This window comes from Homo sapiens, chromosome 7 (assembly GCF_000001405.40).
Source record: "Homo sapiens chromosome 7, GRCh38.p14 Primary Assembly".
Classification (NCBI taxonomy): domain Eukaryota; kingdom Metazoa; phylum Chordata; class Mammalia; order Primates; family Hominidae; genus Homo; species Homo sapiens.
This window is the reverse complement of record NC_000007.14, coordinates 150,679,507-150,693,641: the sequence shown is the minus strand read 5'-3', so window position 1 is coordinate 150,693,641 and position 14,135 is coordinate 150,679,507. Positions and strand designations below refer to the sequence as shown.

General features: G+C 41.8%; 1 protein-coding gene and 1 long non-coding RNA gene across 3 annotated transcripts in view, besides 1 other annotated feature; one reads left to right on the top strand and one right to left on the bottom strand.

Moving 5' to 3' along the window:
- GIMAP2 (GTPase, IMAP family member 2) lies at nt 1-7,936 on the bottom strand. The gene is made up of 3 exons (NM_015660.3): nt 7,857-7,936; nt 6,555-6,590; nt 1-1,327 (listed from the first exon to the last, which is right to left on the bottom strand). The coding sequence occupies exons 2-3, from the start codon at nt 6,580-6,582 to the stop codon at nt 342-344; spliced, it is 1,014 nt and encodes a 337-aa protein (NP_056475.1). The 5' UTR covers nt 6,583-6,590; nt 7,857-7,936; the 3' UTR covers nt 1-341.
- LOC124901774 (uncharacterized) overlaps nt 5,929-14,135 on the top strand; it is a 39,410-nt gene continuing 31,203 nt past the window's right edge. The window contains exons 1-2 of one of the 2 annotated variants that reach the window (XR_007060589.1): nt 5,929-6,045; nt 7,466-7,520. This is a non-coding gene — a long non-coding RNA (uncharacterized LOC124901774). Of the gene's footprint in view, nt 6,046-6,934; nt 7,521-14,135 lie in introns of those variants that run through there. The other variant, XR_007060588.1, reaches the window with a different exon arrangement.
- Nucleotides 7,862-8,061: an enhancer, noted in NCBI's record as "active region_26841". NCBI's record gives its function as "activates an Ori minimal core promoter by ATAC-STARR-seq in GM12878 lymphoblastoid cells {active_cell/tissue: GM12878}" and the evidence as "EXISTENCE:reporter gene assay evidence [ECO:0000049][PMID:35858748]".

Genomic DNA, 14,135 nt, shown 5'->3' with positions numbered 1-14,135 from the left:
TTTACAGTTTATGTAATATTATTTTATTGCCATTTTCATTATATTCAGTAGAAATAGTAGTACTAGAAAGAAGAAAATGAGATTTTAGGAACATAAAACTGGCTTTAGATATTTGAAAATGAGAGGAATTTTATGTTTACAGATTTCAAAAGGCTTTGATATTATATTTCAATGCAAACAGTAACTTATCGTATGATTTGGTTCATTAATAATTGGAGTGATGTTCAGATTTAAACATTTCATAGAATCTCAAATATGACTTCAGGTACCACATTTTACAGGGAAATTACTGTGATTCACCCACTAAATGATAGTGAGTAAATAATAACTGGGATCTGTAACTATAACCTAGGAGTCTTGCGTTCTAGTCTAATAACTGTTCTCAAAAATATCATTAACTTTTTGGGTATAATAAACAGCAAACTGCAGAATAAATTGCACATACTAAAGAGTAAGCAACAAAACAAATTGCACATGCTGTGCAGTATGCAAAGCCACAGAATTATCAATCTGAGAAACAACTGAATACAAAATAAAACACACAGTTGTGTTTTGATTAAGGCTCCTTTTAGGCAGTTTGCTTCAGCCAAGGCTGTGTAACTTCTTTGAGTTTCCATGTACTTTATAAGGCTCTGTTTGAATTCCTTTACTCTTTCATCTGATCCCACAGGTCCACATTTAGACCTCTGTATTAGGCTGTACAACCCATTGGTATAGTGATCACCATTTTTCTCCATCAACAGATCCTCAATACAGTCCATTAGTTCCTTCACTTGGTCATCCTGATTGCTCCCTTCAGCACGGTTATTAAAGGCACAGATTCGCCCACCACATGCTGCCACCAGCTTGCTTAGGGCTTTGTTATCTGAGTCGTGCATGTAATCCATCAGGGAGCCACCATTGAGGTCTTCCTTGTGGGTAAAGAGGACAATTGTGTGTCCCATGGCATCCTCTCCAAAGATCTCCTTCACCCTCTGTGCAGCCTGCTGGTCCTGTGAGGTATAGCGGCCCAGCTGAGTCACCAGGAGCAGCACATGGGGTCCTGGTGCAGACAGCAAGTAGCACCTCTGCACCTCTTTGTACAGAGCTTCACAGTGGTCCTTCCAAGAAAACATATCTGGTGTGTCAATAATGACAATCTCTCTATTTCCCCAGCTTCCCTGACTTTTGCTGCAAGTCTTAGTCAAGGTCTGGGAACCCAGCTTCGATTCAAATGCTTGCTTCCTGAGGATGCTGTTCCCTGCAGCACTTTTGCCAGTTCCTGTTTTGCCCACCAGGATGATTCTCAGCTCAGATCTGCTGGCACATTGGCCCTTTGCATGTGGTCCTGTGAGGAGCAAGTTTACTGTGTTATCGCTACACTGATCACGGCAGTGGAATATTTTTTTTTCCTTTCATTTCTTTTTCTTTTTTTTTTGAGACGGAGTCTCGCTCTGTCGCCCAGGCTGGAGTGCAATGGCGTGATCTCGGGTCACTGCAAGCTCCACCTCCCGGGTTCACGCCATTCTCCTGCCTCAGCCTCCCAGTAGCTGGGACTACAGATGCCCGCCACCGCATCCCGCTAATTTTTTTTTTTTTTGGTAGTTTTAGTAGAGACAGGGTTTCACCGTGGTATCGATCTCCTGACATCGTGATCCGCCCGCCTCGGCCTCCCAAAGTGCTGGGATTACTGGCGTGAGCCACCGGGCCCAGCCGGTAGTGGAATATTTTTAATGATAAGGAGGTATTCCCCGTTATGTAAAAAGATACTCGCACATCTATTTCACGTGAAATGAAAGCTAACTTGATTGCTGTAGGACTGCAGGGTATTGCCATGTTGGAGCCTAGGAAAACATACTTGGGGATGAGATGGATTTAGAGACATTTCTCATCATGTAATGGTTGCCTGAATCACTCAGTCCTGGATCTCTAGAAGAAAAGTTTTCTGGAGATCAGAGATGCGTAGGCAAGGCCATGGGTTCCATCTCAATGTGGGCCAAGTGACCTGGCTCTGTTTCAAGGCCAGAGGTTGCTACTTTGACCTTGGCTGGGCAGAGTGGGGTCATGACTACCAGGGAAGTGGCTGGACCAGCAAAATATTAGAATGAGCAGTGTAAAATTATTTTTATTAGTGAAGAAACAACTGATATCTTATAAAGGATATCATAATTTTGCTTAGAAAGCATGGCATAATTTTGGTATAAAATAGTCACAGAATATGGTAAACTTTCCTCTCTCCTTCCCCATTTCCCTTCAACGTGGGTAAGGTTCTGGGGAGAGGAGTGAATGGGGACAGAGGTATGAAGGAGCTTGAGGCTTTAGGGAAAAAATGTGTTTCAGACACATAAAAGGGGAAGGCATAGGAGCCATGGTGCCATTTCGCTGGTCCACATGGCAGTGATAAGAATGACTTGTCTAGGGCAGGTTCATGGAAGAACCAAGATGCAGCTTTGTAGTGGAGAGAGGAGTGATTTAACTTGCAAGGCAAGGGTGACTCTGGCTCTTGAGGGTTAACCCCTTGATTCCTTTACTGTAAGGGAGGAACATTTGACCTATATGAGTGAAACGGAATACCATGATAACAGGAGAATCTTTCTGGAGGGAATATCCAAACAAACTAAGACTCTCCTGCTAAGCTCATTGCCTTTTGCGGTTTAGCTGTTCCTTACTCTCATGTTGCAGAGAGAAAGTTGGAGAAGGAAAGTCTACATTGACCACAGAATATCAGAGCTTAGAAGGAACTTAGACTGTACAAAGAAAATGAGCTTTCTGAGAGGCAGCATGCAGTGGTGAAGAAAAAAAGAATCTGGAGCTGGATTGCTTAGTTTAGATTGTCTTTCCATTGCTAGTCATATGATCTTGGACAACTGATTAATTTCTCTTCATCTGGAGAAGATGATGGTTTACTCCATGTGGTGGTGTTCTAATGACTAAATAAGTTAATATATGTAAAGAACTTAAAAGAGTGCTGGTGCACTTAAGCACTTGGTGAAAATTAGGCTAGGATTGTTTATAGCAACCTCCTTATAGATGAAGTAACTTGCATGCAGGGGTTAAGTAACTTGGACAAAGTCACCTAAATAGTTAGTGAAATCTACCCTTTATTGAGCACTTTTAATGTGCCAGGATCTGTTCCAAGTGGTTTACCTGCATTACCTAATTTACTCCTCCTAGCAATGATATGATTTAGGGTTAGGTGCTGCAATGCCCACCAGTGGTCTTGTTCTTAGCTGGTTCAAATGACCTCTCGGGCTCACAGGACTGCCATGGGCCTCACTGGGACACTAGTCTACTCAGAAGAATGGAAAACTTCGCTTGCCAGAGGGACAATGTTGGGCCTTCCACCTAGTGGAAGTCTATGCAGCAATTCATGGAACACTGCAAACTGTCACCTAGGGAGGTCCCAGGGCAAGGAGATGGCATCTTGAGCAGTTATAGAAGCCACCTGGACTCACAGGAGCCAATGTCTCTTGTAGCAACTCTGGGGTTTAGCTTCCAGATTCCCTGCAAGGAACATGAGAGTTACAAGAGTCACTGTGCTCAGGGAAGTTCAAAACATAGCTTCCTAGCATGTATTTATAGTTCTTCCAGTATAGATATAATTCACCCATCAAGAGAAGTTTTCAACCATAAGCAAAGTTCCTAATAATGTTAGAGACATTTTACTCTTATTAAATTATTAGAGAATCTCAGCTAAAACATTTAACCAAAGATTAAATTCTCAGAAAGGGAAAGGGTTTGTCAACCTTTTTACCCATGGGTTCCTTTTATTCACCTTATTTTACACATAAATCTGCAACTTGCCCAATAACTTAGAGCCCATTAAAAGTAACCAGTTTTGTAAATGAAAAAGCTGGCATTTGAACCTGCCCGTTTTCTATGCCTGAAGTATTAGTGCTTTGCCATGCTGCTACGCCAACACTTGTTGCACATATTTAAGTATTTTCTCTTCCAGACAAATTGGCCAAAATTTATGGACATTTAATCTTATTTTCTGTAGGCCAGTGAAATTATGGCCTCACAGTAGACATGCAATGGACACTTGTACTTAAAAGGAAGCAGGCATTACATTACACATTTCTATATTCTGAAAACAGCAGCCAAGCAGCTCCTGATACACCGCGCTGGAGCTTGCTTAGAGGCAGCCAAATTGCACGTTTAACCTTCCTCTCGCCTATGAAAACAGAAATGAAGGGAGTCATTGAAGAGAAGCGGTGGGAGTCCTGAGTTGCTGGCCTCCTAGGGAGTGCTACCTCATTCTCTCCCATGGGGAGGGTATAGGGAAGAGAATTCTCTGCATCCAAAGCCAAGTGAGAGGGTCTCTAAATCATCCACTCATAAATATTGGGCATGTCACCAAAGTTGAGAGATAGGTAGGTCATTTCCCAGATGGGTGTCTGCTGAATGACAGAAACTGGTAAGCCTATCCAAGTGCAGCAAAGTGAAGAGAATTCTTGAGCAAATTTTTGAGAGGAGTTAGATGTAACCTGAAGTTTGGAGACATGTATAAACATGGAAATTGGTGTCTATTTCCTTTCTGGAGAATTCTAAATTTTGAAGGCTGACTAGAGCCACCTAGGAGACCAGGATAAGGAGTAAGCAGCAATGGCTTAGGGGGTTTCCCATGGACAGAAGGGATCTTACAGAAAATAACTAGGCACAGCTGCCTTGATGAGGCCCTGTCCAAAGGCCTGCCTTGTATGGCAAGCGGAGTGCAATTACAAGAGGAAGCCAGGGGTGCCATGAGGGTGGGAGCAGAGGTCTAGTTGGAGAATTCTGCCAGAGAGGGCGCAGCCTCTGGCGGGAAGCCTGCAACTTAGCCCTGTGGCGACTCCACAGTGTTCTCGCACAGTGGAGGGTGTCTGCTGTAATGGGGCATGGGATGGCGGTGAGGACTAGCCAGGAGACAACTGCAAGGACAATGGGACTCAAGCACTCCACCTTCTTTCTCCAGTCACCCATCCTCCTGCCTGATGGGGAAGGAGGGACTAGCATGAGGGTTGAGGGGGCAGAGCTGGAAGGGAGAGGAGGACTTTTGGAAGGTACCAGAGTTCAGGCTGAGGCTGAGGTAGAGGAAGGAGAAACTCAAATTGAATGTAAGTTTGATGTTAGACGGCACCGAACAGTACAACACCTGATACATGTGTCATAGTGACTTTAATAGACTATTCTTCTAGTCTCTATTAATCAGAAAGGCAACTGCCTGAGATGGCATCAATAAATCAAGATTGTGGCCGGGCGTGGTGGCTCACGCCTGTAATCCCAGCACTTTGGGAGGCTGAGGTGGGCAGATCACTTGAGGTCAGGAATTTGAGATCAGCCTGGCCAACATGGTGAAACCCTGTCTCTACTAAAAATATAAAAATTAGCCAGGCATGATGACACATGCCTGTAATCCCAGCTACTCAGGAGGCTGAGGCAGGAGAATCACTTGAACCTGAGAGGCAGAGGTTGCAGTGAGCTGAGATTGCACCAATGCACTCCAGCCTGGGCCACAGAGCCAGACTCCATTCCCTCCACCCCGCAACCAAAACAAAAGGAAATCAAGATTGCATAATAAGAGTCAGTGGCTGGGAGGAAAAAAAAAGTTGTTTCTCATTTGGATCTCAGAGTTCAGCTTGATCAATAAACAAGTTCCATACACAATGAAGCCAGAGACCTCCTATTTCTCACAGGTGAGGGTTGAGTGTGAAGGCAACTTGGTAAGGAGGAAGATCTGGGCTCTTCTTGATGTAAGAGACTGAAGACAGGGCTGTCGAGGGGCAGAGAGTGAGGAGGAGGGAGTGGGAAAGGGGAGGTCAAGATACAGAGAGAGAGACGCCCATACCATACAGATAGCAGAAACAGGTGCAAGAAGAGGAGAGAGAGAGAAAGGACAAGGGAAGAGAAGGGAATGATAGAGACAGACAGAAAGACAGAGAGAGAGACACACACACACACACACAAAGAACCTATGGAAATGTGAGAGAAGGAAGAGAAGACTGAATGGTAGGAGAAGGAGTATTTCAAAGAGATCTGAAAGATTTGTGCATAAGGGAAAAGCCTGGATGCATATTTTGGATCCTGGTGAGTATTTTAACAATTTTCGAGCCAGACTTGGTGGTTCATGCCTGTAATTCCAGCACTTTGGGAGGCTGAGGCGGGTGGATCACAAGGTCAGGAGTTTGAGACCAGCCTGACCAATATGGTGAAACCCCGTCTCTACTAAAAATACAAAAAAAAATTAGCTGGGCGTGGTGGTGTGTGCCTTTAGTCCCAGCTACTTGGGAGGCTGAGGCAGGAGAATCACTTGAACCTGGGAGGTGGAGGTTGCAGTGAGCCGAGATTGCGCCACTGCACTCCGGCCTGGGTGACAGAGAGAGACACTGTCTCAAAACAAACAAACAAACAAACAAACAAAGAAAACAAAACCCCACAATTTTCAGCTGCTGGTGGTGGTAGCTGTGGGAGTTAGAATAAGATCCTTCACCCTTGTTTATTTTGCCCCAACATCATCAGAAGAGCCAAACACACACACACACACACACACACACACACACACACACACACACACACACGTGAAGTCACCTTCTTACCCCAGTGACTGTGTTCATTTTGGTCCATTGGTGTTCCTGAGAAACAGAGAGACAAGAAACTTATTTTTCAGTTCTAAATCATGAAAAATTCTTATATTTCTTTTCTTTTCTTTTTCTTTCTTTCTTTTTTTTTTTTTTTTTTTTGAGACACAGTTTCACTCTGTCACCCAGGCTGGAGTGCAGTGGTGCGATCTCGGCTCACTGCAACCTCCACATCCTGGGTTCAAGTGATTCTCCTGCCTCAGCCTCCCGAGTAGCTGGGATTATGGGTGTGCACCACCATGCCCATCTAATTTTTGTAGTTTTAGTAGAGACAGGGTTTCACCATGTTGGCCAGGCTGGTCTCAAACTCCTGACCTCAAATGATCCACCAGCCTCGGCCTCCCAAAGTTCTGGAATTAAAAGCGTGAGCCATCACACTAGGCCAAGATCCTTATATTTCTAAACAACCATGTTTCATTTGTCTACTCATAAGGGACAAGGTGGGTGGGAAAGGAATGACTTCCTACTTTACAGAGAACTGGAATCACTTGCTGAGGGGCTGAGAAGTGGGTTTCATTTGTAAGCCTCATGCCCAGCTCTCTCTCGCTTTCTTCCTCCCGTCCTCTCACAGATCAGCCCGGCTCCCTTCTGTTTTTGTTTTGCCTGCACACTCTTCGCTTCTGTCAGCTTTCTCTGTAGGTGTGCCTTCCCTTACACCTTAGGCTCAGTCCTCCCTTTCCCTCTCTTTCTTTTCCCACCTTGCCTCCTTCCCTCCTCTACTCTCTCCAAACCTCCTCCCTCATGTTGAGTCTTTGCTGAGAGACTCAGTGAATGAAGATTATGACTCTGGGAAACCGTGCAGTCCTTTAAGCTGGAAATACACTTCACTTGATCCATTAATGGCTTGAATTTTTCTCATTCCCCAACAGCCCCTGGTTATGAAGCCCTTGCAATGTAGGAACTACTATGGAGTGAGAAATATCGGTACGTTTTCATCAGCTAGTTTCTCTTGCTTAAATCTGGCAGGCATAGACCAAGCGTACAAGCACAGAAAACTGAAAGCCACCGATTAATGCCCAAATTCTTCCCAGTTAGCACTTTTTATTGACTTTATACTATGGAAATTCTTTCTTTGCCAGTAATGTGTAAAGTAAATTACATCGGTTTCCTGTAAACTGGCTCCACTTAAGGAAAAGGCAGTCACTCTAAATTGCTTCTCTTAAAATAGGACAAATTTGTTCTAAGAAAAATGAAAATGTTTGTGCATGGCTTGGGACCTAGAAATCAACACTGCAGAACTTTTCGTAAATCTGGGCTTACCTGATTTACTGTTCAAAGAAACAGTTGGCTCCCTGTTCAGTCCTGTTGTCTTATAGCTCAGCTCCAAGAGAAAAAGAAAGTAAAACCGAGACTCCAGTCGGTCTTCTTCCTCTCTTGAATCTTCCTGAGCTTCCTGACTGCTAATGAACGCCACCACGTGCCTGTGTTTGAAATTCTCTTTCATGCCATTATGCAAAATAAACAGTTTAAATGGAAAGTTAATCAGTAGTTATTTGCTGTCATGTGGGCCAACTGTCTCTTCTTCTCAAAAGTGAAAAAAGAGTGTTTTAATGATTTCATCTGGACTGGAAAGAAAGGCATGAATGCCAAGGAAGTTGGTGGATTTCAGTCCTTCCCAGCTGGGATATGTCCCAACAGTTAGAAGTTTGTCTAGATGCAAATGGCCCCCTGAGAAGGGCTTAAACCTCATTGACACCAGCAGCAGGGATTGTTCTAAAGCAGATGCCACTGGGAGAGAAGAGGAGCCTCTGATAGGCACTGCCCAGGGGAAGAAGGGCACAGAAAGGGGAACCTGAGAGGGGACATTTTTGTCTGAGTCTGATTGTAAGGATCATTAACCATCAAAACATTTTTACATAACTCATTCATGGCTTCTAGGATTCTGGGCCTTTCTTCCCTGTCCAGCTCTGTAATTTCAGAGAACCTCCCTGTGGGGAGAAATTGTCTAGGAAATGTCTATAGTAATACTCTGGAGTGTTGGCTGGGTCAAATGGTATTTCTAGTTCAAGATGCCTGAGGAATCGCCACACTGACTTCCACAATGGTTGAACTAGTTTACGGTCCCACCAACAGTGTAAAAGTGTTCTTATTTCTCCACATCCTAGCATTTAAAACATTTCCTTTTGATTGTCTTGGAGTTTCCAGGTTTATCATAGACTCAGTTGCAAATAGTGATAATTTTCCCTCCTTGTTTCCAAAAATATCTTATGTTGCTTTCTCTTGTATAATTACAATTGCTTGCTACCTTTTCAAAAGTGAGTTAATGTGCTTTTATTATTTATTTACCTGTAGGGCACCTAATATCTTATCATTAATATTGATGTTGGTTATTGGAAATTAATTAGTTTATTTTAAAATCAGTGTGGCTATACTTTGCTTAGTCCTATTTCATTAAAGTCTTTTATCTGTGGTATAAATTTAGAAAATTTTATTTTGACGTTGACTGATATAATTCCATGTCTTTTTCCTTTTGACCTACTAATATTGCAAATTACATCACTGCGTTTCCTAACATAAGTGATATGTACATGTACATGTGCAAAGGTTTGGGTTCCTAGGAATACAGACTGTTGAGATGAAGATAAAATGGATGAAGGAAGTTTATTAGGGAATCTTCTCAGGAAATGTGCTAGAGGGAGAAGGGAAGAACCCAGGATTAGGCAGGGAGAAGTGAGACTGAGATGTAGTCACAACAAATATAGACTCTACAGGGAGTTCTAAAGTTTGGTTGGACTTTCAGAATGAAGGAGAGTGAGCAGAACTTTATAATCCCCATCGGATGCAAACTTCCTCTGGAAAAGACACTTGACTTACATAGGGCATCTCTCTTCAGCATAAGCTAATTTCTGGACAGGTCTGACGGCTCAACAGCTGAGAGCTAACAACTGGTCTCACTCCCAGCAACTGGAGATAGGTCCTTCTGTTTTTGCACTGTTCCTCTAGGTTTGGAGATGCAAATATTGCTTCTCCTGCTTCATCTTTTAGATCATCTGTAGAGACTTCCAAGCACAGTTTTAAATATCTCCCTCATGAAATTTCTTGTTCAAGCCTTCTCACTCCTGTCCCTTCTGAACATGAGCATACATGGAACATTTCCCCTATGTCCCATGGTTCTAGTAAGTGATGTGACTACAGCCTTAAAGGAGGAGTAAGATAGATGTTGGGAGGAGGTGAGGAAGGAGAGGGCAGGGGCTGAGTAGAGGTGCATGTTTTAGAGTACTATGACATTTTAAAATTCATTTTATTCCCATGGTTCAAGGCAATTTTGGAAAATGGGTCAAGCCGAAAGAATAGACCACAGATTTCCTGCAGTCATATTGAGATGTATTTGACAATTGTTCTGTGGTTTCTTGTAAAGTGTTTATTTATAAAGCAGTACTGTTCAATAGAGAATTCTGTGATGGACATGTTTACTGTCTGCCCTGTCCAATATGGCAGCCACTAGCACATGTGGCTGTTGAGCACTAGCAAGGTGGCCAATGTGATGGAGAAACTGAATTTTACATTTTAATTTTAAATCATATAATTAAACGGCCACATGTGGCTAGTGGTTACCGTTTTGAACAGTGCAATTATAGAGTATATCATTCTCAATAAGATGATACAAAACATTGTGTATGTAAAAGGAGGGGGTGCACAGGTAAAGATATGATGAGAAATTGCAAAACAAAAGGAACAAGTGGATTTAACATCCCAAAATTCCAAAACATGGGGAGGGGAGGCTTGTTACTGTGAATTTAAAAATTGCGGTGACTTTCCCCATTGCTTGTTTTTGTCAGGTTTGTCAAAGATCAGATAGTTGTATATACGTGGAATTATTTCTGAGGGCTCTGTTCTGTTCCATTGGTCTATATCTCTGTTTTGGTACCAGTACCATGCTGTTTTGGTTACTGCAGCCTTGTAGTATAGTTTGAAGTCAGGTAGCGTGGTGCCTCCAGCTTTGTTCTTTTGGCTTAGGATTGACTTGGCGATGCAGGCTCTTTTTTGGTTCCATATGAACTTTAAAGTAGTTTTTTCCAATTCTGTGAAGAAAGTCATGGTGGGGATGGCATTGAATCTATAAATTACCTTGGGCAGTATGGACATTTTCATGATATTGATTCTTCCTACCCATGAACATGGATTGTTCTTCCATTTGTTTGTATCCTCTTTTATTTCATTGAGCAGTGGTTTGTAGTTCTCCTTGAAGAGGTCCTTCACATCCCTTGTAAGTTGGATTCCTAGGTATTTTATTCTCTTTGAAGCAATTGTGAATGGGAGTTCACTCATGATTTTGCTCTCTGTTTGTCTGTTATTGGTGTATAACAATGCTTGTGATTTTTGCTCATTGATTTTGTATGCTGAGAGTGCTGAAGTTGCCTATCAGCTTAAGGAGATTTTGGGCTGAGAAGACGGGGTTTTCTAAGTATACAATCATGTCATCTGCAAACAGGGACAATTTGACTTCCTCTTTTCCTAATTGAATACCCTTTATTTCCTTCTCCTGCCTGATTGCCCTGACCAGAACTTCTAACACCATGTTGAATAGGAGTGGTGAGAGAGGGCATTCCTCTCTTGTGCCAGTTTTCAAAGGGAATGCTTCCAGTTTTTGCCCATTCAGTATGATATTGGCTGTGGGTTTGTCATAGGTAGCTCTTATTATTTTGAGATACGTCCCATCAATACATAAATTATTGAGAGTTTTTAGTATGAAGGGCTGTTGAATTTTGTCAAAGGCCTTTTCTGCATCTATTGAGATAATCATGTGGTTTTTGTCTTTGGTTCTGTTTATATGCTGGATTATGTTTATTGATTTTCATATGTTGAACCAGCCTTGCACCCCGGGGATGAAGCCCACTTGATCATGGTGGATAAGCTTTTTGATGTGCTGCTGGATTCGGTTTGCCAGTATTTTATTGAGGATTTTTGCATCAATGTTCAAGGATATTGGTCTAAAATTCCCTTTTTTTGTTGTGTCTCTGCCAGGCTTTGGCATCAGGATGATGCTGGCCTCAAAAAATGAGTTAGGGAGGATTCCTTCTTTTTCTATTGATTGAAATAGTTTCAGAAGGAATGGTACCAGCTCCTCCTTGTACCTCTGGTAGAATTCGGCTGTGAATCCATCTGGTCCTGGACTTTTTTTTGGTTGGTAAGCTATTAATTATTGCCTCAATTTCAGAGCCTGTTATTGGTCTATTCAGAGATTCAACTTCTTCCTGGTTTAGTCTTGGGAGAGTGTATGTGTCGAGGAATTTATCCATTTCTTCTAGATTTTCTAGTTTATTTGCGTAGAGGTGTTTGTAGTATTCTCTGATGGTAGTTTGTGTTTCTGTGAGATCGGTGGTGATATCCCCTTTATCATTTTTTATTGCATCTATTTGATTCTTCTCTTTTTTCTTCTTTATTAGTCTTGCTAGTGGTCTATCATTTTCTTGATCTTTTCAAAAAACCAGCTCCTGGATTCATTGATTTTTTTGAAGGGTTTTTTGTGTCTCTATTTCCTTCAGTTCTGCTATGATCTTAGTTATTTCTTGTCTTCTGCTAGCTTTTGAATGTGTTTGCTCTTGCTTCTCTAGTTCTTTTAATTGTGATGTTAGGGTGTCAATTTTAGATCTTTCCTCCTTTCTCTTGTGGGCATTTAGTGCTATAAATTTCCCTCTACACAGTGCTTTGAATGTGTCCCAGAGATTCTGGTATGTTGTGTCTTTGTTCTCATTGGTTTCAAAGAACATCTTTATTTCTGCCTTCATTTTGTTATGTACCCAGTAGTCATTCAGGAGCAGGTTGTTCAGTTTCCATGTATTTGAGCAGTTTTGAGTGAGTTTCTTAATCCTGAGTTCTAGTTTGATTGCACTGTGGTCTGAGAGACAGTTTGTTATAATTTCTGTTCTTTTACATTTGCTGAGGAGGGCTTTACTTCCAACTCTGTGGTCAATTTTGGGATAGGTGTGGTGTGGTGCTGAAAAAAATGTATATTCTGTTGATTTGGGGTGGAAAGTTCTGTATATGTCTATTAGGTCCACTTGGCGCAGAGCTGAGTTCAATTCCTGGATATCCTTGTTAACTTTCTGTTTCATTGTTCTGTCTAATGTTGACAGTGGGGTGTTAAAGTTTCCCATTATTATTGTGTGGGAGTCTAAGTCTCTTTGTAGGTCACTGAGGACTTGCTTTATGAATCTGGGTGCTCCTGTATTGGGTGCATATATATTTAGGATAGTTAGCTCTTCTTGTTGAATTGATCCCTTTACCATTATGTAATAGCCTTCTTTGTCTCTTTTGATCTTTGTTGGCTTAAAGTCTGTTTTATCAGATACTAGGATTGCAACCCCTGCCTTTTTTTGTTTTCCATTTGCTTGGTAGATCTTCCTCCATCCCTTTATTTGGAGCCTATGTGTGTCTCTGCACGTGAGATGGGTTTCCTGAATACAGCACACTGATGAGTCTTGACTCTATATCCAAATTGCCAGTCTGTGTCTTTTAATTGGAGCATTTAGCCCATTTACATTTAAGGTTAATATTGTTATGTGTGAATTTGATCCTGTCATTATGATGTTAGCTGGTTATTTTGCTCGTTAGTTGATGCAGTTTCTTCCTAGCCTTGATGGTCTTTACAATTTGGCATGTTTTTGCAGTGGTTGGTACTGGTTGTTCCTTTCCATGTTTCAGGCTTCCTTCAGGAGTTCTTTTAGGGCAGGCCTGGTGGTGACAAAATCTCAGCATTTGCTTGTCTGTAAAGTATTTTATTTCTCCTTCACTTATGAAGCTTATTTTGGCTGGATATGAACTTCTGGGTTGAAAATTCTTTTCTTTAATAAAAAATAAATAAATAAATAAATAAATAATTTCACGGTGAATAAAAAAAAAAAAAAAAGAATGTTGAATATTGGCCCCTACTCTCTTCTGGCTTGTAGAGTTTCTGCCGAGAGATCAACTGTTAGTCTGATGGGCCTCCCTTTGTGGGTAACCGGATCTTTCTCTCTGGCTGCCCTTAACATTTTTTCCTTCATTTCAACTTTGGTGAACCTGACAATTATGTGTCTTGGAGTTGCTCTTTTTGAGGGGTATCTTTGTGGCATTCTCTGTATTTCCTGAATTTGAATGTTGGCCTGCCTTGCTAGATTGGGAAGCTCTCCTGGATAATATCCTGCAGAGTGTTTTCCAACTTGGCTCCATTCTCCCCGTCACTTTCAGGTACACCATTCAGATGTAGATGTAGTCTTTTCACATAGTCCCATATTTCTTGGAGGCTTTGTTCATTTCTTTTTATTCTTTTTTCTCTAAACTTCTCTTCTCACTTAATTGCATTCATTTCATCTTCCACCACTGATACCCTTTCTTCCAGTTTATCGAATAGGCCACTGAGGCTTGTGCATTCATCATGTAGTTCTTGTGCCTTGGCTTTCAGCTCCATCAGGTCTTTTAAGGATTTCTCTGCATTGGTTATTCTAGTTAGCCATTCATCTAATTTTTTTTCAAGGTTTTTAACTTCTTTGCCATGGGTTCGAACTTCCTCCTTTAGCTCGGAGTAGTTTGATCATCTGAAGCCTTCTTCTCTCAACT

Bases quoted from the DNA above. Each gene is read 5' to 3' on its own strand.
- GIMAP2 (NM_015660.3), bottom strand. From the start codon at position 6,582: ATGGACCAAAATGAACACAGTCACTGGG. The intron at 1,328-6,554 runs GTAAGAAGGTGA...TGCTCCTCACAG, and splicing joins AAATGAACACAGTCACTGGG to GACCACATGCAAAGGGCCAA.